General features: G+C 40.7%; 2 protein-coding genes across 2 annotated transcripts in view, besides 2 other annotated features; both read right to left on the bottom strand.

Moving 5' to 3' along the window:
• PHLDB2 (pleckstrin homology like domain family B member 2) overlaps positions 1 to 5556 on the bottom strand; it is a 244022-nt gene extending 238466 nt beyond the window's left edge. Inside the window, exon 1 of the mRNA NM_001134437.2 lies at positions 5349 to 5556. The gene's annotated coding sequence lies outside the window, so the exon portion shown is untranslated. The remainder of the gene's footprint in view (positions 1 to 5348) is intronic.
• Positions 2224 to 3423: an enhancer, noted in NCBI's record as "P300/CBP strongly-dependent group 1 enhancer chr3:111453476-111454675 (GRCh37/hg19 assembly coordinates)". NCBI's record gives its function as "activates an origin of replication core promoter dependent on BRD2, BRD4, P300/CBP, MED14 and CDK7 cofactors, with strong dependence on P300/CBP, by STARR-seq in HCT116 cells {active_cell/tissue: HCT116}" and the evidence as "EXISTENCE:reporter gene assay evidence [ECO:0000049][PMID:35650434]".
• Positions 10776 to 11070: a silencer, noted in NCBI's record as "tiled region #10775; HepG2 Repressive DNase matched - State 7:EnhWF". NCBI's record gives its function as "represses a minimal TATA promoter and a strong SV40 promoter by Sharpr-MPRA in HepG2 cells {active_cell/tissue: HepG2}" and the evidence as "EXISTENCE:reporter gene assay evidence [ECO:0000049][PMID:27701403]".
• PLCXD2 (phosphatidylinositol specific phospholipase C X domain containing 2) overlaps positions 11045 to 25077 on the bottom strand; it is a 52332-nt gene continuing 38299 nt past the window's right edge. Inside the window, exons 3-4 of the mRNA NM_001413064.1 lie at positions 23924 to 24165; positions 11045 to 17329 (exon numbers count right to left, since the gene is read on the bottom strand). Of these exons, the coding sequence (NP_001399993.1) occupies positions 17170 to 17329; positions 23924 to 24165 (402 nt within the window). The 3' untranslated portion in view covers positions 11045 to 17169. The remainder of the gene's footprint in view (positions 17330 to 23923; positions 24166 to 25077) is intronic.

Raw genomic sequence — 25077 nt, 5'->3', positions numbered from 1 at the left:
AGGGGTATTGGCTTTCCTTGGGTCACAGAGAGAAGCCTGCCACCTGCCAATTCACTGCAACATCTTCTGGCCGACCTCTCCTGGGTTTTCTCTTCTCTTGAAGCCTGCTCACATACTAACCACAAGTTTTCAGCTGTTTACCTTGTGAAACCTAATGAGATCACCACAAAGTAGGCCCCATGGACGAAAGCCATCATTCCACAGAAGTACACATGAGCTCCAGCCAAATGCACTATATAAGGCTTATCTTGAGAAATGAATCCTTGAAAACATCAACCCAGTGATGACAAAAAAGAATTCTGCCTAGTTAGAGTTCTCTGCAGGAAGTATTTTTGATATTATTTTGGCTTTTGAAAAAAAAAAGACTTTGTGGGGGTTACCTCAGTGCACAGTGAAATTGCACATTCAAACTGTTTGAATCCTGTCCTCCAAATACAGAGGTCTTATGTGAAAACAATCTCATTTTCATTTTACTTTCTGGGAACCCCTCCAAGGCATGGTGAATTGCCAGCATTTTGTGACCTTCAGTTCCTTTACTGCTCTCATGGGAAACTTGACCTTGGAACTGTAGAGAGGAGGGGAACAAGTTTTGGGTGGGTCAGGGGCAGAAGTTTCATTCACTCTGCTTGATCACTGCCCAAAACTATGGGTTCTCCTGCACCAAGATCATTAGAACCTCAGAAGTCACAGAAATGGGGACCAAAAAGTATGATGAGGATGCACACTAACACCAAAGCAAGGATGTGGACAACATGACTGTCGCATGGGATGGAGACTCAGGCAGCCAGCCAGGGGCAATTCCCAGTGAAACATTAGGGATAAGAAAACACTGGATCTCCTCCAGATGCATAGCTGATGCAGGGCTCCCGGACCCTTCAGAACATCTTAGGACTTAAATGGAATTCCTAGGGCATAAGGTTTCCTCCTGTAACTGTAGCTGGTTTCTGTAGGGTTGAAACTACAATAATGGATTCTCAATTTGTAGAAGGACTTCCTTAGGTTCCATGCCATTTGGCAACTGTTTGACTCATGAGACATCCATCTGATTACAGGGTTAGAGAGGGCTTGTGCATCTCAAGACACTGTGGGGTCTCTAGTCCCTACTCATGTATACCGTTCTCTAGGCACACAACTGATTAGAAGACAGTGGTGGCTTATCCTTCTAGCAAGAACCCCTTTGATATCTTATTTTGCTCATGGGCACATGGGCTTGAAAGATTTTTTGCCTTTAAGGAAGATTTTATTAAGTAACAATTAATGTATTTATTTTCATTACTCTGTGAAAATCTAATTAGAATAACAGCATTACCACACTGACCTGACAGAATTCTAGCCCAAAGCAAAGCAATCAATATTTGAGTGGTCTCTGCCTGAGAACAGGCTGTGTAGTCATTTGGCATTTTTAATTTCTGAAAATTTAAATAAAAAGCTTGTAGGCCCCATTCCTACCATTTGTAGGACTTAGGAATCCAGGGAACTGCGTGAATATTTAATTTAAAAAAGAACAAAAAATTTGGAGTCCCAAGATCTAAGGGACTTAGCTGAGTGAGACTGAGAAGGCCATTCACCTGTATTGAGTCTCAGGTTCCTTATCTGAAAGGATATCATCTGAAAACAGTACTCATCTTACAGGGCTGTGGTGAAGATTAAATACAACTATTGACATACTGGACAGTTTTGAAAAATTTAGCTGATTTCAAAGACTGAAATTTCACTGCAGAAATAAACTTTTAAAAAAATCTTGGTAAAATAAATGACAAATTTGTCTTGTACATTATGTTAAAGTCAATCACTCAAACAAACAAAACAATGTTTATAAACTAGGAGATGATAAGAACAATTTTCTCTCTCAGCTTCAGAAAGGAATCAAAGCACTGACTCTTGGGCAATTGCTATTGTGTGTGTGCATGTGTGCATGTGTGTTTTGTGGTTCCTTTTCTAGAGGAGAGGAAAACCACTGTCATACTGAGTTTTATGCTTACACTCAAGAACATCAAGAACATCTTGTGTGAGTGGGAAGGGGGAATAAATATATACTCTAAGGATCTGATCAAATAATTTAGAAAGAACTTTTTTTACTCTTCTACATTTAGAACGTGAACAGTGTAGACACTGTTGGGTGAGTATGTTTCCCAGAACAGAATGCTGAAGAACATGGGATTTGGATTCAGATCCCAACTCAAATTTTACCTCATCTTACTAGCTCTGTGACTTGGGCAAGTTGCAGAGGTTTGTTATGAAAATTAAATGAAAAAAAGTGTAGATAAGAAGGCAGCAGTTCATGTTTTGGTCATAATAAGTACTTGACACAGGTGAAATGTTGTGATGAGTCTTTGTGTTTTAGCTTCAACTTTCTTTCTCCTAGCGTTTTGGTTAATGAAAATGATGGCATGTAAGTACAGTTCATGCAAGGTCAGTTGATTAGTAAAGGGTGCTGGTAGACATGGTGATGCAATCTCTATTTGTAATGCCTTTGCTATCACACACTTGAGATACATGTGAGGCAAGTCACTAGAAACCCTTTGTTCAAAGACATTTAGTCGACCTCATTTCATGATGGCATTTCTTTATCTTGATCTTGTAAATGCTCAGGAATTGTGGCTACTTTGGAATTTATGACAGACAGCTAATGGAATCTTTAGGACATATCTGAACAAAAGTGAAACTAGGGGTGGGGGGCGGATTAAGGCTTCTGCTGTACATTACTCATTCACTGCTCAAATGACACCAAAAAGCCATTTAGACTCCAAGCCGACATGGGTCTCTTTGGGTTGCAGATGGTGAGAGCCTTGACAGGAGGGACTGTTGATGGTTTCTCGGGCTTTAAGCCTCTCTGTGCCCAAGTCTCTTAGATTTAAATGAGTGGGTATTTGCTGAGATGAGATAGTAAATTCTTGAGTTCCTTGAGAAAGATTGGGATAGGGTCATTTCTTCTCTGGAAAGAGTTCAGATGTTGTACTTTAGTTGGGGCTCAGAATTTGAGTCTACAGTATAAAAAGGGACAAAGATTTAGCCTGAGGATTATCTGGGTTATTTAGAAAATATACAGGACAGAGAAGACTCCAGTGACTGCCATGACTAAAAACACTTGCTTTTGCTCTTGCCTGTTTTATCCTTTTTGGAAGTCCACTACTGGCCTTTTTGTTACAGAGGCTCAGGCATGGCACATCCAAGAGCCAGTGGAGAACTTCAGAACTTCTGACTGTATTAGTCAGCCTTGCTTACCTCAGTGACCCTCCAATTTATGCTTATCCACATGGTCAACTCCATGACCTTATGGGAAATGCACTGGGTTGGGAACAAGGCAGAACTGAGTAGAATCCTGGCTCAGACTAATTGCATGATTTTGGGCAAATTAATTAACTTCTATATTCTAACTACCTAACGTTGAAAAACAATGACAATGCCTATTCTAATCTAGTCAATCTGAAGAATAGTCTCCCTCTACTTACTATCCAATATTCAGGAAATGGAAAGAAAAAGCTGTACATACCCTTAGGGGCTTCCAGTTTGTTTTAGGCCCTGAGCCAGAAGCTACAAAAAAAGGACAGGTCAGACCTGTGTGTCTGTCCCTAAGGCAGCCTTCAGTAATGTGGGGAAATATGGCCAATGCATAAATTTTTAAAAAAAATTTTTTGTAGAGACAGAGGCTCACTTTGTTGCTCAGGCTGGTCTTGAACTCCTGGCTTCAAGCAATCCTCTGCCTCACCTTCCAAAGTGCTAGGATTACAGGCATGGGTTGCCATGCCCGACCTAGCCAATGCATTTGATCACCCCAAGATCCTTTTCCCTCGTCAAAACCACCTCCATCACTTGCATTATCTATGAACATCCTCTGGATACCAGCCAGATTCACACTTAACATTTTGCAGTGCTTAATATCTTCACAGAAACGTATCAGTTTTCCATAATTCTCCACAACATTCTTGAGAGGTAGCCACAGACTTACCCAAAGTCACACAAGGGTTTATGTCTACAATGGCCTCCACTCTTGCATCTAGTTAACTGCCTCAGACACTAAATATTCAGCCACAAACCCTGCCTGAGGGGAGTCACTTCAGTTCCACAACTGATTGACAAAAATAATGTCAAACATTACCTTGTCCTACATGACCCAACTCCTTCCCTAAAGGGAGTTCAGAAAAATAGGACTTCAGCATTACTAGGCTTCTAACTAATGACTATAGGAGCCAGGAACCACTGCACAGGCCCGAAAGTTGTATGTGGTGACCATATGACAACATTTCTGCAATTAGAGGAGTTATATTCAGACTTAAGGAAGAGTGAATCATATTAGATAAAAATTACATATTTCTAGAGTGTGTAGACTTGAAGGGGAAAATTTCCATGTTTTCCTTGGTGATTACTTTATAACTTTATTCTTCCTCAAGAATCACTCAATAACTTGTTTCATAGTTATCATCTCCTTCTTCCCCATAGACCTCCAGTGATGAGGGAAGCTCCCTCCAAAGCCACAAGCTTTGTACATAGAGTGGCATTGGTATCATCAGGTTTGCATATTAGTTTTGCTCATGTTTGTTTATCATTGAGCTGGGGAAGGGGGGTCTTGGGATATTTACTATTCTCGGAAGGAGAAAAACTTACTTCTGGTGAGAAGAGAATCTGGACTATAGCTTCAGAGGAGCATTTCTTCTGTGTTGCCCATGCCTTTGCTACAGAGGGACTCAGGCCAGCAAAGGCTTTGGTGGTCCTCCTGATTCAGGGTAAGAAACGGCCTAGTCTCAGTAAATGATTGACCTGGCTGCCGATGTGATAAGCTTAGGTAAATAGGCTTGATTCTGCTCCAGTAATTTCAGGACTTTTAACTCTCTAGGTTCCAAAGCAGAAAAATATACGTGACTTCCTGGGAGAGCCTATCATACGAGGTTGACAGCCCTGTGAATGGACAGTATATTTCTCGGAATATATTATTCTATACCATATACTACAGTATATGTACACTGTCCTCTCTGGTATGTCTTGAAAATTGAAAAAAATTATGCAACGAAAATTCTGGAACAAAACCATGCTTGTGGAGTTACCACCAATGAAATCATTTTAATAAATCGCACATATAATTTGTTATAATGAAAAATTTTTAAAAAACCTTCCAAGTTTCTGAAATACGTACAGGAGCAACAACAATTTTCAGAAGAGATAGAAGACAGAAGGAAAATACAGCCTGCTTTCCAGAACAGGCTGATAGAAAAATGACTGAATTCAGACACACACCCGGGTCTACCATATCTCCAGCAGACCCTCCTCAGAAACACTCTGGTGACGAGGCTGTATATGCTGCTCATTTTGTTATTACAAGAGAAGGGCCAGTGACCAGAGAGATCACCTACCTTGTCTGCTGCTTTTCAATCCCGACTCTTCCCTCAGCTTCTTTCCTGACTCAGCAGGGATGGCCCATGGCTGTTCCAGCGATTGCTGAAGAGAGTGGGATGTTGGGAAGACACATTAACACAGGTTTCTCCTTTTCCCCAAGCATGAAGGTGAGGTTCCTTTCCATTTCCTTTCCTGCTCTCTCTGGCCTCTGCAGACTGTGGTCACAGGCAGCAACTTGCTTGCAGCCAGGTATATTGACAGATGTGAAGGAGGGAGTCTGCCCTGGCCTCAGCCGCCTGGTCTAGCCAATCATTACACACCAGGACAGACTGCTAGTCCTGCTTAAATCCAACCAGAGCTGCATGGAAAAATCAGATGGCAGGACTGTGGGGGGCAGAAAGCACAGTCTGATAGCCATTGGCTATCCAGAAAAGTGATTCCCTTGTAACTGCATCTGGGAAGTGGACAAGAGGCCCCGAGAATAGTTTATAGAGGAAACGAAATTTTTATTCCTTTAGATTTCAGCAATCTCAGAGGGAAATCTGGAAGTCACTTTATCAAATGTCCTATTTAATAGTGGAGTTTCTTCTATTAAATTCTTGTATGGTGAGAAGCATCTGGTAGTTTTTTAAATAAATATGGCTACCATTCATTGAGAGAGTATTATATGTTATGCATTTCATGCATATTACCACAAATCCTGATGGTAATGTTGAGATTTTATTTCTATTTTATGCACAAGGGAACAAAGGCTCAAAGGGGTAATGGTCATGCAACTAGTAGGTACTGAAGCCAAGATTTGAATCCAGATCTGTTCTAATACCTGCACCAGCATTAATAAGCCTTTCCGCACGTTCTGTGGTAGGTTGAATTATAGCCCCCCAAAAATGTCCACATCCTAATCTTCAGAACCTATGAGTATGTTATCTTACATGGTAAAAGGGACTTTGCAGATGTGGTCAAGTTAAGGATCTTCAGATGGGAGATTATCCTGGCTTATCAAGGTGGGCCCAGTGTAATCACAGGGGTCCTTATGAAAGGTCAGAATAAGAGAAAGAGATGTGATGGCCTATAATCCCAGCACTTCGGGAGGCCAAGGGGGCGCAGATCACAAGGTCAGGAGATGGAGACCATCCTGGCTAACACAGTGAAACCCTGTCTCTACTAAAAATACAAAAATTAGCTGGGCGTAGTGGCGGGCACCTGTATAGTCCCAGCTACTCGGGAGGCTGAGGCAGGAGAATGGCATGAACCCAAGAGGCAGAGCTTGCAGTGAGCAGAGATCGCACCACTGCACTCCAGCCTGGGCAACAGAGCGAGACTCCGTCTCAAAAAAAAAAAAAAAAAAAAAAAAAAAAGAGAAAGAGATGTGATGACAGAAGCAGGGTAAGTGATTGATATGCTGCTGGCTTTGAAGGTAGAGGAAGGGGCCACAAACCAAGGAATGCAGGCCGCTTCTAGAAGCTGAAAAGGCAAGGAAGTGGATTCTACTCTAGGGCCTCTAGAAGGAGCATGGCCCCACTGACCATTTTAAACTTCTGACTCTAGACCTGCAAGGTAATACATTTGCACTGTTGTAATCTACCAAGTTTGTGGTAATTTTTTATAGGAACTATAGAAAATGAATACACATTTCCTCAGAAATACTCTTTATGATGGTGAGATCACTGTTTCACTTAGTTTCCTATTCTATAAAGGAATACTCTTTATCAAGCTAAGCTCGACCTTCTTAAAATGGCCATTCATTGGTCCTAGCTCTTCCCCGCACATAAGGCACTTGGGGAGGCAGCTGGAAATGGTGGCAAACAGTACTGGGAAGGGAATCTGGATTCTAGTCCTACCTCTGCCTTAGCCAGTCAGTTCTCTCTGGCTTTCAGTTTTCTCTCCTGTAACATTAATGCCTTGTACAAATGTTCTTTGATCCCTTCTATATCTAAAGCCATAATATTCTAAACTCAAGTCATGTAACAATTTAAAAATACTTGAAGATATCTCTGTCACCTTGCTCCAAATGTTTCCTGTTCCAACTACCCCAGTTTTCCGTGTGACATGACTTCTGGACCCTTCCATCTCCAAATTGCTCTTCTCTATGAAGGCTCCAATTTAGCCATTTCCCTCTGAAATGTGGTGCCCAAGTCTTCACATAGTGCCCCTGCCATTTCTTGTCTGCTAGTGTACCTGGTTCTCCTGGCTCCTCTGACCACACTCTTTTGCTGGGTCTCATCTAACTATTCCTTAGGATCCTTTGAACTTGGCCTAGTCTGTTTCTTTTCAAGTTGTCTGATCTGACCTTACCTCTCGAAACAGAGCACCTATAGTGAACAATTCCACAAGAATCTTAGATTTTTTTTTATAGGAAGGACAAAGACTTGCCAGTGCTAGCCTAAATTAGTCAGCCTTGCTTGCTTAACAACATTTAAATGATAATGCATTCTCATAGGCCCTTGAAAGGCGGTGGTTTATCACATTTTAAGATCATAAATTCTTTGAGAATTTGATGCAAGTTATGGGTCCTCTACCAGAAAAAAGTGCACATACATCTAAAATTGTCTGTGTCATTTTGGGGCACTTCAGCCCCCCTGAAGTAGTTCACTGCCCCTCTGATGTGTGTAAGTTAGTTCTACACTCACAAGTTGTTGGTGGGGGAAGTTTTTGCAAAAGGCAGCCTAATGTTTTCTTCCAGATCTCCTTATACTTCATGGAGGTCCTAGAAACACCTCCTGGAACTGGATTGTGCAAATGCCCAGTGAGGATCAAGGTAGGAAAGTCTCCAGGCTAAAAAGTAGCTCAGTTCTCAGGTTAAACAAAAAAACAGCATTCAGTGGCCTCCTTTTACAAGAATATTGCTTCTTATGGCCTTTCTCTACAGGATAAATCCTATTCTTTAGATGCTTAGCTCCTTAGATTAAAGCCATCTGCCTGCCTAAGGCTTCTCTCAATTGCATGATGCTACTGGACAGAGGCTGACACTGCTGTGGCCTCCTCCCCACCCATGCTGTCCAAAAACACTGACTGCCCAGCTGTGAAAACACCCTGGTCTGACTAGTGCTTTTGTCTCACTGGCACTTGTCCAGGCCATCCCGGGTGAGGTTTGAGGCACATGGGCTTTGGCCACTGTCCCTCCCTTGCAACCTCCCACCCTCTCCGAGAATGAAAGGTTTCAAGTCTTAAAAATAATAACACTCCTTTGGTCATACCGAGTAGATTTGCAGAGGGATAAACACGATCACTTCTTGCTGATCAGGAAGAATTCCTTAGGAAAAAAAAACACAACAAAAATCCAGGACATCAGGCAACCTGACTTCAGGGATTAACAGAGAGGGAATCAGTTTCAAAGTTGAAGAAATGGAGTTTACTCTGCGTTTCTTGTTTGTCAAGCTCAGCCATAGGTGGGACTCAGTGACTCCATGACCTTTCTTTCCCTAGTTTAAACTGCTCTACAGGACAACATGGAGATAGATTATCTGAGCATGGACTTCCACAGGAAACATAAAGGAAGTTCCCTTATGAAAAAAACAGATAATTTTCTATTCCAAATAGCAGTTTCTTCATGTATTTAGTTACTAAGAAATGTTTACGAAGAACAAAGTCAAACCCAGTTCTAGGCAAAAATGAGTGGTACAATCAACTGTATTTTTTTTTTTCAACCTGGAAAGGATCATAAACTTAGGTCATTCTCATAGCTTTTTCATAGTGGGCTCTTCAAAAAACTTAGATAAATTTATTTTGAAGGGGACTTTATATCACTATTGCAAACCTAGGACTGCCTGCTACAAACAGAAGGTAACCACAACGTAAACACAGTACGAACAAAATGAGATTAAATGTTAGCTAGACACTATTGCCTTTTTGGTTTTAGTTGACAAGCAAGGGATAGAGAGGTTTCATTACTAAACTGAGACTTCCCTCTTGACTAATCAGAACTGATTAAGTGATTAATGACATTAATGCTATTTAAGGATATGGCCATCTTCCACCTCACATCATCTTGCATACCACCTGTGGCATAAATGCTACGCTCTGAGTAATGCATTTTTGGTTCAGTAACTCTCCAACTGGTTACACACCAAAATACATGTTTCTAAGTATTCCTCCTAAGATATGCCCTAAGATATAAAGAATCATAATCTTCAGGGATCAGGTACAGAAATATATATTAATATGAGTACCTCCAGATTAGGAAGCTTCCAGAGGTGGAAACCACCAATAGCCAAAGCCCAGGACTTTGTCTCTAGTGCCTTCCTCACACCCGCCCTCTTCTACTCTTTGCCCCTTACAACCATCCCCCTCTCACCTACACACACACAAACACACACACACCCAGAAAGACAGAGAGAGAGAAAGACAGAGAGATGAATGACCAAGTCTAATCACTCAGCACCATCCAGCTGCCTTGACCTTCCACTGCAGAGCCTCAAGAATTTGCCACACAAAGGGATTTCACGTTTTCTTTCACTGTCAAATTTATATTGACTTACCTCTCATTAATTAGTTCCTGCTAAATCATCTACCAATTAACACAAAGGTTAGCAATCATGTTGAAGTGATCGTTGGGTGCCATTTGAAGGAGGAGGGTGCAAAGTCCCTTATTACTAAGACTAAGAGCTACTATGGAGTATTTACTATGTGCCATGCTCCGTGCTAAAATGCTTCCTAAGCATTTTCTTATTTTGTCTTCTCAATTACCCTTCATGGTTGGTATTTTTAGCCCTATCTTCTATGTAGGTACAGACGTTAATTTGCCTAAGGTTACTCCGCCAGGGTATGGAGTTGAGATAGAAACCCAGGTCTGTGCACTTCTGAAATGCCTATACTTAACTTCTGTGCTAAATAGAATGTTCATAACCTTGTTGTAATATGATAAATTAATCTGTGAATAGATATAAAATAATTCACACATAATGTGAGAGCTCCATTGTTATAGAGGCAATGTTTAAACCCAAGTATATGTTCAGAAATTGAGGCAGGCCAGTGGTATCTTTGCAATTGCACCATGCAGGTTATACATGCTTTGCTTATGTTTGGACCCAGCCCTATCTACATCATGCAATTTATTATTAAAAACTGCACAGGAATGACTGTAAGTGGTAAAGCCAGCCAGAGGACAGTATGGTAGATTTACTAAACGATAACTATAAATATAAGTTAAACATTCTGAATATGACTATGTTGTTAAATTGCTATGGTAACTTCAACACTTATAATTATTCTTAATTACCTGTTTAAACTTTGACTCTATGAAATTAATGGTTACTTAGAATTAATTTGATCTCTGCTAAATTCATACAAAAAAGTCTCAACTGATTATTTTTTGTAGAGGATAAGGGAAACACAGAATTCACTTAAATTAAGTGGTCTTGGATATTCTATTAAAATAATTAGAAATGAGGAAGATACTGGAATCTTCATTGCAGCAGAAACTGCAGGTCCACCCTTATTTAATCTTTGTATACACAAATATATTATCTCTGCATTGTTTTATTTCTGGGCATTTTAGCAATCACTCAAATTAATGTGGGTAGAGGTGGTGGTCAGGTGAGTGTGGATGTCAATAAGAGCTGGTCTAAGCTTAGTGGAAATAACTGAAGCGCTAAGGATGAAGCTTGGAAAAGCATGGGGTCAAGGTTGTGTACACATTTCACGCACTGTTCAATCTTGGGGACTGCAAGCACATTTACTTAATCCAAATATGTGTCAGACATGCTCGAGAGGGTTTTTGTCCAATATTATATAACAAGATGTTTTATTGACACTGAGTTTATAACTCTTTAAGACAAAATTAGAAGTGGACCAATAACAAAATGTTCATCCAAACAAAGGAAAAAATGCCTGCCAAAATTGTATATTTATTATTACAGTTAAGCCTATTTAGGTAGTTCAAATCAAATACAAGAGAACACATCAGGTCATCATATTTTTTTTCACTGTTAAAATGAGGTATTCTGGCTTTACAATGTTGTAAGTTGAAGTAAGCAGTTTAATCAAAGTTACAAGAAAGAAGACGAGATATATACTTGGACAATTATTTCCTAGGGGTAAAAAGCCAAGTGAAATGTGTATGAATAAGATAATTAAGCCACAGAATACATTTCAGAATATCAAGAAGCATATGTGCAAAATTTTAATTCTAACCTTAAAATTGGTATACTTTATTATTATTATCATTTTACTTAGCAAACAACATGCACCATACTGTAAAACAAGCAATACAGGACAAAATAGCATATCTATTAGAGCATTTATCAGGTTCACGTATCATCTGAATTGACCAAGACTTATTTTCACTATGACAATTTCTGTATTTTTCTAATTGCTCATCAGTGAGGTTAAGTAGTACAGTTGGCATATACACACAAAGAATGCATACACAATCTGTATTTAATACTTATTATTATATTGGGGTATAAGTTACTAAGTATAATAGCAGCAAGGTACCACTATTTCTAGAACATGTTCTAAGACTTATCATATTGAGACTGTAGATTCACGACTGAAGTGTTATTAGTGCTATAAACTAATAACAAATGTAAAACTGCAAATGTACAGAGCTACCAAAGGCCTATTTGACTTTTCAAAGTGCTGTGCTTCTTGTTGGGCTTAATGTTTGTGAGCAAGCCCCTGCTATTTGAATTAAGTATTGGTCCCAAGTTCTGGGCTCCAGTATAGTTCTAATGATTGGATGTAGGTTGAGGGGTAGAATAATGCATTTGAAAAGAGTAAGAAGCAATAACCACTGTGATAAGAGTGTATTGGACATCACTGAACACACGTGCCTATCACTGTAAGCTTTGCCAGCATCCTGTGGTTAGCAATAATCAGCAGATGATGGAGAATGGCCAGGAGACAAAAGGAAAAAGTAGTATTCTATGAAGGAGACGGGAAGGAATGACACAGAATATGCCTCTAGACTGTTGATGGGCTTGCCTCGGCAAATGGTGAGCCTGAATTCCCCCCAAATATAAGGGTAAATATTTATCTAAACTATTTGGCTTAGAAATGAGTTTGAAAAGTCCTAAAAGTTTTGCTGGAGAATATAATAGAATACTATATCCACTGCAGGGTAGAAAGAATTTTCTTGAATTATTTGTATAGTGTCTAAGACTGTGATATTTTGAGAAAATCAATCGCATTTTGTGGTGTATTCTTCTGGGTTAGGGCCTGTTTAGGGTTATAGTGCTATTGGAGTCCTTGTTTCTAGAAGGAAACTGGGGAATCCAGAAGCTACGGAGAGCGTCCCTTGGGGTAGTAATGAGCTGTTTGGTATCATTTGAAATTAAGGGTAAAGTTTCTACCTAAATTACTTATCACTCAAACAGTTCACTCTGTGTGTCCCAAGGCAATGGTTGTAAGTGACAACGCTATGGTGCCAAACACCAGGGAGCAGCCAGAGGCAGAGGGCCAAGATATCCTGGAACATTAGTGGAACTCAGAAGACAACCATGTTCTATGCTATGCAAAAGAAACTTCCTGTCAGTTTGGATATTTGATGCTATCATTTCTATTCACTTCCTCTTGGCATAACAAGTCTGTTTAGCATGTACTGGGAAAGCCCACCTCTCAAGAGTCCACATACATGTTGGCAGATTTCTTTGAGCTCTACACATTTCATTATATGGATCATCAAAGGTGCCATTCCTAGATAAGTTCTGCCATCCTACATCACACTGTTGGGAAATAAGCCCAAGCAGCTTTTCCACCCAAGCCACAGAAGGAAGAATAGCATATCTGCACACCCCCTGAGTATAAGGCATTTAATCTAATCATTAGGGACCTTATGATTGGGGAGCTAATCAACCAAGATTTGCAAATCAGTCAGCACTAAAGTAGCAGACAGCATCTTCAAAGATGAAGGAACCAAGAAAGATTTAGCACAGGATCACATGCTCAGCTAACGGAGCGGAGTCTCATGGCTGTGCTCCAATCATTAGCCCACTCTGTTTCTTAGAATCTAACAGTAAAAATTTGAAATTAGCTACTAAGAAACATCACACAAACTTCAACTGTGGCATGAACTAAATCTGCAGGATGGACTGGTTTCATGTAGCTCTTTTACTTCCCAGGAAGAAGTAGTTTCATTTCCATCTGAATTTCTTCTGTTGCTCCACCTTTAGCATTGTGCTAAGCCTCCTAGCTGGGAGGTAGTAATGTCTCATTGGGAAGCACTTTCTCATGGCAAGATTCTCAAAACGAGAGATGGAAAGTCCCGCCACGCCATAAAACTGCATTTAATTCCAGAATACTCTACTACGTTGTCTTATTGAGAAGAAACAATTTTTTTGGATGAATATGAGATCATGTAAAAAGAACTAGGATTCCTAAGATGGATCATTACCTGGGCTCAGATTTTGTGCTTTTCTTTGAGTTTATAATAAAATCCTGGGACTGTGGCTTAACTGCTCTCGGTAATTCAGGGTTTAGATTCAGTGCTAAGGAAAATGACTAAAAGTAATTACCATTGAGTTTAATACAGCAAATATAAAAACTTTTTTGGCATGACTCTCTTGGAGGTCTGCCACTAATTTAAAATTTAATGTTCAATAACTTATTCCCTTCCATTAAGTCCATCTCGACCTCTCTCTCCAATCCTTCTGTATCCATGAAATCCTGGTGGTCTCTCTAAAAGGCTCAAAGTTCAAGCCTGTAAACACTACTCTAACCGAACTAAAACCTTTGATGGTCCCCTTTGCCACAAAGCCATGGAAATATGGCTGTGTGGGAAATGGTCCAGGGAGCTCATGAATAGCTCAGTTGTATTTCAGAATAAATATGACCTAAAATTCTGTGAAACTAAAGTCCTCTTTGGCTCAATCAAGTAGCTTCTTAGCTGATCTTGAAGTTAGTTCTGAGCAAGTATGAGAGCCTTGTTTTGATCTGAAAGGTCTCCAGAACTTGTGAGAATAAGTGATGTGGTTGGGTCACTATTTTATTGTTGGCAGTTGCAGAATGAGTCATGAACCTAAAATCTGTTTTCCCTCTGTCCCACATGCCTGAGTTCTCCTGTCTGGTCTCACGGTCAAGGAGCAGAAGGCACACATCCTTTACAATATGTTAAGCAACTTTTTCTTGAGGCAGAGATTCTGCTGATGCAAAGGTGTTTATCAAGGGAAAATTGTAAATAATCCTCCTATCTCCCAGAACTCTTGTGCAGACTTTCAAATTGCAAGCAAGGCTGGCAGCTCCAAGCAGCATGGAGGAGTGAGCACCTGCACGCACCACGCAGAGCAGGACTCCGTGCATGCAACCTTGGTACAGTTTTCTGGGCTTTTGTGTCATGCTTGATGACATTTATCATGCAAACACTGAGGTGCACTTAAATGTTACAACCCAAGTGAAGTGCAACCATATATTTAAGAACTAAAGGACAAAATCATGTAAACATTTCATGGAACAGTCAGCAGCCCTTGGGTGTTACTGGCATCCTGTGTAGATACTTGTCAACACACCTGGCCTCATAGCACCAAACACCTGGACAAAGCCGAGGCTCAAATAAAACAGAGAACAGTAATTCTCCTCTTGCCTCCTTATCTCTTTGCCAAGTAACAAAGGGTAAAAAGTGGGGAAATGATCTAGCCCCTAGCAATTGACCAAAAATTAAAAACAAAAGCAAAATGAAATGACAACAAAAATAAAACCCTGAGGGTAGACCAGGGATTTCAGAGCTTGTCATTAGCATTTAGCATCAGAATTGAAGGAAAGTTTAGAAAACGAGGGAACACACTTACTTACTCTTATCCAGAGAAGGCCCTACAGAATTTGACATTATCCCAGAAAACCCTTTGGGGAGGGGTTCAAATGCAAAAAAAGGAAAGTTCAACCAGATTTTCCCAGAGGCATTTCTATTATGACCTCCTCAAGGGTGCAAGCTAAAAGCCAGGTCTTAAATTGTTTTACAGAACGTATAGGGTGGAAGACCAAGAGTTGGGGGTGTGGATGTGCTTTTAGTACCTCACCTAGGACACCCCTCTCTGCAAGCAACATGCAAAATCCATCTATGGGCATCAAAAGACAGAAACAGGAAACTGCTGGAAGAAGAGTCTGACAATCTTTATAAATGCATACATCCATTCGGGACTCCATGTTTATATTTCCTTCTTAAGAATCCAGAAGCTGCCACTTCCTTAGGGATTCTCAGATGGTGCTGAGGAGCAACAAAGTGCACACATTTCCATGCCTAGTTTTCTTTCTAGAGCCTTTCTTTTCAACACTCTTCTGGAGGGTCTACTTATGAACTAATAGTTCTTCACGACCCATTTTATCTTCGTTCATGGGCATGGCTTGGTAGTGACTTCTCAGATCTAGACCACATCCACACATGTATACTGTCCCCAGGAGGACTGGGGGAGCCAGGACATGAACAGCAGAGTCAGGAATCACTCACAGCCCTGAGATGCGTGGTCCTGTTCAGGACAGAAAGACCATAGCAGCATCTATCCTGGGTAAGAAAAGTTCAGTAAGCTCCTGTGTGAGTGCTCTTGATGTAAGAAGCACGGCAGATATTTAATCTATAAATAAATAAATAAATAAATAAATAAATAAATCAAAACACAAGAGGGCTCCTTATAGATAAGCACCTCTTATCGATAAAAAAAAAATTCCCTCTCGAGTTTCAAAGTCCTCATGCAGTAGTGATTGGTAGGCTCAAAACAACCTGCAGAAAGTAGAACCATCAAGAGAAGGACTGGAAATGTTCCAACACTAGGTATTTCTCACTTGGTGACACACGAGTCATCCTAAATATCCCCGAGGTAGTCTTGTTTTCAAGGAGTTATAGAATGGCTCCAAATCCACTTGGAGCTTCCTCCTTTAATGCCATTGCAGTTTCCCATGCATCCTGCGCCTGCTTCCATGGTGCCATGGATAAGGGGCCTTCCACTTAGCGTTGTGTCCCACAGTGCAGACCTGAGTCCTAGGCAGACAATAATAAAACGCAATTCCAAGATCAGGCTTGAAGACCCCACTCCAAAGAGGACTTTGCCAAAATGATGCAGGTGCTCTACCTGGCAGCCATTCTGGAAAAAGCTGTAGAATTAAATAAAAGATATCTGGCATGCAGCAAACATGCATATCTATCTCTTGTTGGGCCCCACGCTAAAAAGATCTCCCATCATTGTTCTTTTCACTTTTAAGAAGGGGCCAAAAGAAATAGAAAGGAATCCAAGTTTTAAAACTGGGAAGCATGTTTCTGATACTAAGGGTAGTATGCACTGTTTATCTGAAGAATGAGGTGACCAGTTACCAGTATACGCTATGAAAGAACAGCTTGTGTTTGAAACATCTTAGTGATAAATGAGTCCTACTCTCTCAGAAAAGTGGTGACATCCAACAATCCTAGAGAGACCTGGTGCTTGGCTCTTTTCCCCCTCAGAGCCCCTGGTTGATGTTAGATCCACCCCAGATGGTGGTCCACAGCTGCAATGAGCCAGTCTTTTTCACCAGGAATGTGTTTCTGGTTCAACTTTTTCACCGGCTCAAACACAACACCCCAGACGACAATAGGGAGCTGGGCCAATTAGGGGGACACTCAATACCCCAATGGGTCCTAGAGATCCTATTTCCAAATTCCATTCACCACCATAAGCCACTGGGGAGGTCCTGACCTTGGTCACATGAAGCGTGCTTTCTTCCCTTGGACTTAAGTTTTAAAAAAAGTCTCATTTGGGAAAAATGCAATTAATAGCCCTGTAATTTTATCTAAATGGCCCTGTGAGGAAGGGAGAAAAAAAAGCCATCTTCCTCTTACTTCATCATCACTGCCCCAGGGGCCATCCTAACAGGACATCCTTTAGAACTCTACCCTGGATCAACAAATTCAACATTAAGGTTAAATTAAAAATTAAATCAGCATTTAGCCAGAGCTGTGTCCTCCTGTAGGAGGTCATTCAACTTGATGACAGTCGCAGCAAAGTCCACCAGGTCCACGAAGTCAGATGTGATGATGTTGACACCCATGGCTCCAGGCTTCTGAGTTTTCACCCAGTCCAGGATGGCAGGAAGATTCCTATACAGAGGAAAGTGTTGGAGGAAGAGAGTGGATACAGTACAGCTTAGAGGGTCTTCTCCAGACATGGACATAAAACATTTCCCTTAATATTACAAAAATATGTTAATAAGAGCACAAGCTTTCAGAGGTATTTCCATTTAAGCTTTATATCTCCTTCAGGGATGAAGTAGTCTCTATTCCATTAGAAAATTACACTTTCCAGGGTTTCTCTGCTGGAAGAGGAGATTATTTGCTTCCAGCATCAAAGAGATACCATGTCAACAGGAACTTGAAAAACTAAGATCAGGCCCAGTGCGGTGGCTCATGCCTGTAATCCCGGCACTTTGGGGGGCTGAGGTGGGTGGATCACTTGAATCCAGGAGTTTGAGATCAGCCTGGGAAACATGGTGAAACCCTGTCTGTGAGGAGGGGTAATCACCTGAGCCTGGAAGGTTGAGGCTGCGGTGAGCCAAGAGCTGCACTCCAGTTTGGGTGACAGAGTGAGACTCTGTCTGAAAAAAAAGAAAAAAGAAAAAGAAAAACTAAGACCAAGAGCCTCAGCTTTAATGGGTTCTTTAATTTTTTTAAATCATGAAAATATTCAAACATATGGCAATGTTGAAAGAATTTTGCAGCAAATATATCCACCACCTAGATCCCACCATTAACTATACTTGCTTACCACATATCTATCCATCAATCTGTCACTATCCTTCCATCAATCCATCTTGTATTTTTGACATATTCCAACTGCAAGCATCTATACACATTCCCTAAGTACTTCAGCATGCATATGATTAACTGGAGTTCAATATCTGTTTTTAATTTGTTCTTCTTTTAACATAAAGTTTACGCTCAATAAAATTCACAAATCTTAATGGTACACTTGCCGAGTTTTGACAAATACGTACACATAATTCAAACTCATATCAAGGTCTAGAACATAACTGGTACTCCAGAAAGTTCCTGCAAGCCCCTTCCTCATCAACACCTGCCCCATTCTCCCAGAGGCAACAGCTATACTGATTTTTTTTTCCACTGTAGATTAGATTTGCCTGTTTTAAAACTTCATATAAGCCATGAAAAATGTATTATTTCACGTGAGTTTTCTTTCACTTGGCATAATTGTTCTGAAATTCATCCACGTTGCTGCATGTATCAGTAGTTCGTTGCCTTTCAAAATCAATGAAGAGAATTCCATTGTATGTATATACTGCAGTTTGTGTATCCAGTTTCCTACACTGGCAGGATGGACACTTGGGCTATTGCCAGTTTTTTGGATATTATGAGTAAAACTGTTATCTGTTCAATTCTTTTACTCATTTTTTCATTTTCTTTTAAAAAAATTGTTGAGTTGTAGAAGTTATTTATATAGCCTAGATACTGGTCTTCTGTCAGATATATTTTGTGAATATTTTCTCCTAGCCTATAGCTTGTCTGTCAGTTTTCTCAGTGACATATTTTCATGAGCCGAATTCCTTAATTTTTACAGATTCTAATTTGTCCATTTTTTTTCTTTTATGGCTTCTGTGATCTAAGAACCACTTCAGTCCACTCCAAATTTACAAACATATCCTATGTTTTATTCTAAAAGCTTTATGGTTTTTAGCTTTTAGGTTTAGCTCTAAGAACCATCTCAAATTGATTTTTGTTTATGGTATAAAGTAGGAGGTCAAGGCTTACTTTTTTCATATGGATATACAGTTATTCGATCACTAAGTGTGGCTTCTTAATAGACCAATACTTAATCAGTTGTCTCACTAACGGTCTTTCAGTCTCATTTTATTAATCAAAGGCTTCCTAGGTGACAGCCAGTTATTTAGTGACATAAAGGAATAATGAAAATTCAATGTGATAATTTCTGCATTAATAGTAAGTGTAAACTACCACAGGCAGCATAGAGAAGAAAGCAATAAAGTGTACTCACAGTTTACATCATAGTAAAAACAGCTCAATACATACTCAGTAGGCTGAGAATGCTTTAAAGAAGACAGAAGAAACTCTCCCTTGATGCTGCCTGCCCTTCTTTCAGCACATATCTTGACTTCTCAGTTTTCCAGACAACCCTGTTCAGGCCTTGGTAGCATTTTGTCCTTCTCCTCTTTCTTTTTCTCTTACCATAACTATAATCAGTCCTGGGTCTCCTCCCTCTCTCAGTGGACTCTACAATCAGCCACGGGCTAAAACACATATCATAAATCAATCAATCTATCTATCTATCTATCTATCTATCTATCTATCTATCTATCATCTATCCATCATCTTATTTTTTTTTTGAGACGGAGTCTTCCTCTGTCCCCCAGGCTGGAGTGCAGAGGCGCGATCTTGGCTCACTGCAAGCTCCGTCTCCCGGGTTCACGCCATTCTCCTGCCTCAGCCTCCCGAGTAGCTGGGACTACAGGCGCCCGCCACCACGCCCAGCTAATTTCTTTGTATTTTCAGTAGAGACGGGGTTTCACCGTGTTAGCCAGGATGGTCTCGATCTCCTGACCTGGTGATCCGCCCACCTCGGCCTCCCAAAGTACTGGGATTACAGGCGTGAGCCACTGCGCCTGGCCTATATTTTTATATTAATAGCTGATTATGACTTAAAAGATCACCCTCCCAGGGGTACTTCCATTTTGAACGGGGACTCCTGAAGAGTGATAATAATAATGCTTCATACAGATTTTTGGGGAATTAAACAAAATAATACATGTAAAGTGTTTAGAAGAGTTTCTGTGATATGATAAGTGTGGTAAAAAAAAAAAGGTAAGGAATCATAACTGGAAGAGTGTGAGGTAGAAATATTTGGTGGCTGGGAGTAAGAAACTACACCTTAAAGAGGTCACATCCTCCTGCTTACGTGACAACATGTTGTGGTTTGGAAGTGAGAAGCTGCAAATACAGACTTCCTTAAAGATAGACCAAGGATACACAAGGAACCACACCAAGGACACAGTAGTACTGAACCTGATAGATTCAAGACTTCATTTTAAAAGCCTGAGTCAGTGTTGAAGTATGAGGTGCAGGCGCCCTCTGCTGGTCATTACAGGGAAATGAGCCTTAAAGGCTTGTAACTCCAGTCACTGCAGCCAGAGCCTCCTCACCTTGGAGGATCCCTGGAGCCTGAGCAGAGAAATGCAGTGAAAGGTATGTACCTGTGGTTTCCAGTGACAAAGAGTTCTGTGTCAGCTTCGGGTAGCATGTGTCAACCTTCTCCAAGGCAAGGATCAAATAATTAGGATTAAGTACGAAGAAGGGGAAATGCAGAACCCACAGTGAAGAGGAGCTACTTTATTTTCTCAGCTCTTGGTATTTACCAGGACAAGGGATCTGTGCAAAAGGCTGAACCTGACAGTGCTGACAGGCCCGTGAGGCAACAGTTCCCATGGATGGCAGAGCAGGAGGTTAAAAACTTCCCTTTGACCTTGGGGCCCAGCTGGGAACAAGGGTGGTCCATAGTGTTTCTGGGTGTCTTTACAAATAGGGATGGCATGTCTATTTTCTGCCAGCCACTGTGGCTGGCATTTTCATGTTAAGGCTACAATCTGATGAGGTTTATTAATCCTGTTTAACTGGTGAGAAAACCACAGCTCAGAGACCTCAGAAAACTTGTCCACGGCCACCCTGTTGCTCAGGGACTGCATTGATTTGCTAGGGCTACCATAGCAAAACACCACATACTGGTTGGCTTAAATGACAGAAATGTATTTTCTCTTGTTTTAGAAGTTGGACATCCAAGATCAAAGTGTCATCAGATTTCATGTCTCCTGAGGCCTCTGTCCTTGGCTTGCAGACAGCCGCCTTCTTATTGCATTCTCACATGGCCTTTCCTCTGTGAACACATATCTGTGGTGTCTCTTTGTGTGTCTAAATTTCCTTTTCTTTTAAGGATACCAGCTAGACTGGATTAGGGCCCACCCTAATATCCTCGTTTTGACTTAATTACCTCTTTAAAGGCCGTATCTGCAAATGTACCCACATTCTGAGGTAACTGAGAGTTGGGACTTCAATATGTGAGCTTGGGGATGGCGGGGATGGGACGGGGCACAACACAATGCACCCTGGAACAGGGAGCATGTCAGGCTGCACTCTCAGGCCTTCTGATTTCAGTCCATGTTCCCTTATAGAGTTCATGGATGCTCTGTCCTCAAGCTTAGGCAAAGCATTTTCATATGATTTCAGTGAGAGTGCCATGAACCTGAATTTCAGGTTTCTATAAGTCTGGGAGAAACCACCATGGAAATTGAGTCAAATGGCTATATTTCTTGTGGCTTCCTTCTACGGTGTTGAACCAAAATGAACAAGATCTTAGCTCCAAAGTTTATCGAAGAGTTAGGGGGTTAAATCCCTGCCGAGAAACCACCTCTACATTTGTAAGAAAATATACCCTGTCTTTTTTTTCTTGGTTTGAGCTGACCACCAGTGCCAGCGACCAGTTGTTAGGACAGACCCTCTGGGTGTTGGCACACAGGGGAAGGTCCTATGTTTGTTCAACAGCCCAGAGGAAATGACAGCCACACTCTGCACTGGCCTTTTGGAACAAACTCAACCAGAGCTATATTTTCCTCCTTCAGTTGATGTGCAGGACTAGGAATGCATGCATACTTGCAATATTCTTATGGCCGGCAGGGGGGCGAGATGCCAAAGAAAGTATCTTTCCAAGCTTGGGGACATTGGCTTGCTGCTAGCAGTAGTGCAAGGGCTCTGGCATAGTAGGATCCCTTGGCTTTGGGCGCATGCCAACATCATTATCTCTCATCATAAAGGAAAGAGCCAATGTTTCACTTGCAGCCAGATTAAAGTTTTAGGAATGTACAGATATGAAAAGCTTTGTGACATTGTGGGTTACTAGTTATAACCTGTGAGATATTACCAGATTCAGGTACTAATAAGACAACTGCAGGCCTGTGGAACAGAAAAGAATAAGCACAAAAATATGCAGTATCCAAGTCAGTGTCCAACGCTGAAAAGGGCAGTGGTCTAACGATCAGAAGGCCAGAGTCTGAGAGGTATTCTTGACTTTTACTAGCTGTATGGATTGGGGTCACTTAAGCTCCCTGAATCCCATCTAAAGAGGGGATGATAATATGCTGTAGACAATGTGCCATCCTAGAGGCTGACTTGATTTAAGAATCAAATGAAATCATCTGCAAAAAGCCATTTGATATTCAGAATATGGTATACAGATATAACTTATCCTTAGTTTTTTAAATACTCCCTCTCCATTATTAGTATGGCTGTCTGCACAGACTTCTTCACAGTGGTATTTCACATTGCTTTATAGAAATTTTCATGCCAGTTTCTGCTGCTAGACTGTGAGTTCCTTGACAGCAGACAGTATAATATTCACCTTGAATCTTTGTACCTAGCTCTTCCTAGGTGCTCAATGTTTGTTGAATGAATATATAAATAATGTTGATCTACAAATATACCAGAGGCATGAGGAAAACAGTGTGGATACACAAACATATTATTAAAACAATAAAGCTTCTAATTCGGGATCTTTCAAAGAGATATAGTGCTGGTTTATAAAATTCACTTTTCCAAGTTCAGCATAATGAATTCAGTCAAGACTTAGTAGAGCCACACAGAAAACACTTTCTGGTTTTGTCCATGGTTGACATAATCAGGAGCTCTCACCAAGAAAGAAAAATCTAGTCCTGCTGTCTAAACTCCTGCTAGGTGAACTCCTGTTATCTGAACTCATGTTACCTAAACTCAGGACCAAATAAATAGAAACATGTTTTTGGATGAATCTTTCATTATCTGAACTCTGCTCGTCAACCTGAAACTCAGGGACCAAACTGATTCTTGTAAATATCTTTTGCTACCCAAACGTATTAGCTTCCTTAGCTTGGATTGCAAGGGATTCCCTGTTATCCAAATGTATTTATAACATTCCTTTTATACATATACATATACACATACACATGTACAGGTACATAGACACATACATACACACACTCACATATATGTGCGCGCACACACACAAACACGCATACAAATAAACCATCCTTTTTCTTGAGAACATCTATCATTCATTGGTGTCCGGGATAAGGAACACCATCTGATACAAAATTACTGAAGCTTCTGCTATCTAATTGTACAACCAGGCTCAATTCTGCCCTGAGGAAGTATTTGAAGCTACAGCATGGGCATGGTGGGTGGCATCCTAAGCTGCTTCTTCAGTGACTCATGGTCACCATGGAAAGGAGAACAAATTCTTGAAGGGCCAGCTCTGAATCCTTAGCACCTAGGACAGCAGCCTATATTGAATGCTTCTTAAATGAGTGCCTGGGTCAGCTGCGAGGCACAGGCAGGACCCCATGTGGCCAGGTACCAGGAGTGAACAGACATGGTGTTGGCTCAATGTGCTTTGCCTTATAGCAAAATTTAGAGAGTACAGTATTTATGGTATGATGTGTACTTATGAACAAAGTGTTTAGAGAGCCTTTGTTAATACAATCCACCTCAACTGCATGGTTTTCTCGAATACAAAGTTTTTTGCTTGTTTTGTTGTTTTTCTAACTCCTCAGACTACATGGCTTTACTGCGATTTACTCAGAATAGAATCAAGATAAATATTTTTTAAAAAGCTTTCCTTGTGGGGTGGAAGCAAATTCTTACCTATGAACCAGCGTGTTCTTGAGGCCCCCAACCAAGCCCCGGGCAATGGTCTTCACTCTGGGGGTGAGGATCGCTTGGGAGACATGGAAGGAGCCCCGTGAGGCCCGCTCACTCAGAGTGGTCTCCAAGAAGAGGATTAGTTTGCGCACACTTGTGGTGTTTGCCCAGGGCGCTGGAATCTTCTTTCCTGGCCACAGGAAGGGGTACTGCTTGTAGAAGGGACAGTGGTAGAAAATAAGAACCTGAAATATTCAAAACACAAAAAGGAGAGCAATCCATAAAAATGCTGAATGTTAACTCCTCCGTTTTATACGGACTGCTAGGAAAAAGGCAAGAAAATATAATCATATGTGGAAAGTCAAGAACTGTTTATATTAATATATATTTTTAGGAAATCAGCAAAGATTTACAGAGCACTTGCCATATGTCTGACTCAAAAATTCTTAATTTTGTTGGCATAAATACCTTTGGAAGTATATTAAAATCATGGACCCCCTTCTCAGAATTACATGTTAAATGAATGCATACAATATACAGGATTACAAAGAAAATCTATGATATGGAAATATAGCAATCAATATATTAAATAAGTTTGTAATAAATTAATGTATGTGCTGCATGATAAATGCATTCAATAAAAATATTTTGTTGTAAGTCTAATAAGTCCCATAACTGTGAGTTAGGGATAAGCATAAGTGGTATCTCAGATATCTGCGATAACCAAAATGTGAGATGGACGCATCTAGGGAGATAAAAATCAGGCAGGGCTAAGATTGTTGTGGGTCACCGCCTGCCCTCATAATCTATGGGTATACTAATTTTCAGTTCAATTTTAGTAAAAATGAATATGTATTTTTTTTCCCATCCAAATTTAAAGACTTCTTAAATTCTACCCTCATATCCCTCTGGGGAAGCTTTGGACCTCAGGCTGAGAACTCTTAGGCTGAGCAGCAAGCGCTGTCTAGAAGTTATGTCTCCTGTAATTACAAAACTGACAGCTTTTGGAGTTGAAATAAAAACACTGAACTAATTTGTGGGTAAATAGACTTTCAATCGTGTGTGCTGGCTCTGCCTGGAACTGCCCTTCCCAGGAGAGTGGGGAGTGTGCCACTTGAGTCAGGGGAGACTTTGCAGAGGCAACTGGCCTCCACAGG

The sequence above is a fragment of the Homo sapiens genome, chromosome 3 (assembly GCF_000001405.40).
Source record: "Homo sapiens chromosome 3, GRCh38.p14 Primary Assembly".
NCBI classification, from domain to species: Eukaryota; Metazoa; Chordata; class Mammalia; order Primates; family Hominidae; genus Homo; species Homo sapiens.
The sequence above is the reverse complement of the archived record's forward strand: the minus strand, read 5'-3'. Positions and strand labels throughout refer to the sequence as shown.